This window comes from Homo sapiens, chromosome 2 (genome assembly GCF_000001405.40).
Source record: "Homo sapiens chromosome 2, GRCh38.p14 Primary Assembly".
Lineage (NCBI taxonomy): Eukaryota > Metazoa > Chordata > Mammalia > Primates > Hominidae > Homo > Homo sapiens.
In genome coordinates this window covers 85,703,848-85,705,842 of record NC_000002.12, presented here as the reverse complement: position 1 = coordinate 85,705,842, position 1,995 = coordinate 85,703,848, and the positions used below count along the sequence as shown (strand labels likewise).

The 1,995-nt window shown below is 42.5% G+C and overlaps 1 annotated feature.

Annotated features, from left to right (window-relative positions):
- Positions 382 to 883: an enhancer, noted in NCBI's record as "NANOG hESC enhancer chr2:85932083-85932584 (GRCh37/hg19 assembly coordinates)". NCBI's record gives its function as "activates a minimal SCP1, AML or CMV promoter by ChIP-STARR-seq in naive and primed H9 embryonic stem cells {active_cell/tissue: H9 hESC(naive and primed)}" and the evidence as "EXISTENCE:reporter gene assay evidence [ECO:0000049][PMID:30033119]".

Here is a 1,995-nt window from a genome sequence, read left to right as displayed (position 1 = left end):
TGTTATGAAAAGGGAAGAGAGGAGTGGAATTTCAAGTGGTTACTCAACTCACCCACTCTCTATTGCATCACTCCTCAGACTTGTGCTGGGAACATTGCAGGGTCAAGCCCATTGCCTCACAGGATGAAGGAAATGGTCAACACTGTCAGGGACTTGGTTTTCCTCCCCCCAGCCATTTCCAGTCCTGTGCAGAGCATTCTGGTCCTGCTATTCCTCAAGGATATGTGCCCAGATTATTTACCCCAAGTTACAAGGGAGCTCAGGCCTCCATTCTTTGGAGAAAGGTGGATTTGTGTGGTGGTTCACAGCTAAGACTGCCTGGATTCAAATCCCAAATCTGCCAAGGCAATTATGGGGACTGAGCCCCCAACCTGTGGGATCTGACACTGTCTCCAGATAAATAGCGTCAGAATTGAGTTGGAGGACACCTAGCTGGTGTCCACTGCGGAACTGACTGCTTGCTTGCTGGTGGGGAGAAACAGCCACGTATTTAGGAGTCAGAGAAGTCTTCTGTGTTGATTGTTGTTGTGTTGGTGTAAGAGCAGAGGAAAAACATGGTTTGTTTTTCCATAAAAGGCATTGTTGAAAACAACAGAGCAATCAGCCAGGAATTAGCGTAGTTTAACGGATAGCTGTGGTCAGAGAAAGAAATAGATAAGAGAGCCCCGCCAAAACCACTGTCATTACAGGATGACTGTGGGTACACTCAAGGCAACGCTCCTTAAGGTGCAACATCAGAGGCTTCACACTGTGGCAGGTGGGGGAATTCACTAAAATAATCCAACCAGTCACCAAACAACAAAACAAGTAAATAACAGTATCAAGCTTGGGTAGGGGCAGGGGGATGACCGGTAGCCAGATATGTGACAATATATTGTCTAAAAAGCCCAGTTTCCCAGAGAAACTTAAGAGCTATAAAAAGAAATAAAAGAGTGATCCATACACACACACACAAAAAAAAAACAGGAACAGAAACTGCCTGTGAAAGCAACCAGATATCAGATTTAACAAAGATTTCCTAGCAACCATTATAAATATGTTCAGAAATAACTAAAGAAAACTGTGATTGAAGAAGTAAAGAAAGATATGATGATAATGTCTCATCAAATAGAAATATTAATACAGAGATAGAATTATTCTTAAAAAGAACCAAATGGAAATTCTGGAGTTGAAAAGTACAATAACTAGTGGGGCACGGTGCCTCACACTTGTAATCCCAGCACACTGGGAGGTCGAGGCAGTCAGATCACCTGAGGTCAGGAGTTCGAGACCAGCCTGGCCAACATGGCAAAACCCCATCTCTACTAAAAATACAAAAATTAGGCTTGGTGGTACGCGCCTGTAATCTCAGCTACTCGGGAGGCTGAGGCAGGAGAATTGCTTGAACCCAGGAAGCAGAGGTTGCAGTGAGCCAAACTTGCGCCACTGCACTCCAGCCTGGGCAACCAGAGCAAAACTCCATCTCAAAAAAAAAAAAAAAGAAGAAGAAGAAAAGTACAATTACTAAAATGAAAAATTCACTAGTGGAGCTCAACAGTAAATCTGAACAATCAGAAGAAAGAATTAGCCAACTTGAAGATATTAATAAATCAATAGAGATTATGCAATCCAAAGAACAGAGAGAAAATAGAATGAAGAAAAATAAACAGAGCCTCAGAGGACTGGTACACCATAAGCACGCCAACATATGCAGAACAGAATACAGAAGAGAAGGAGACAAAGAACAAAACAGAAAAAAATAGTTGAAGAAATAATGGCTGAAAATGTCACGAATTTATTGAAAAACAATCTACATACCCAGGAAGCTCAATAAACTCTAAATAGGATACATGCAAAGAGATCCACAAATAAATATATCACATTAGAAATGCTGAAAGCCGCCGGGCCTAGTGGCTCACGCCTGTAATCCCAGCACTTTGGGAGTTCAAGGTGGGTGGATCACCTGAGGTTAAGAGTTTGAGACCAGCCTGGCCAACATGATGAAACCTCGTCTCT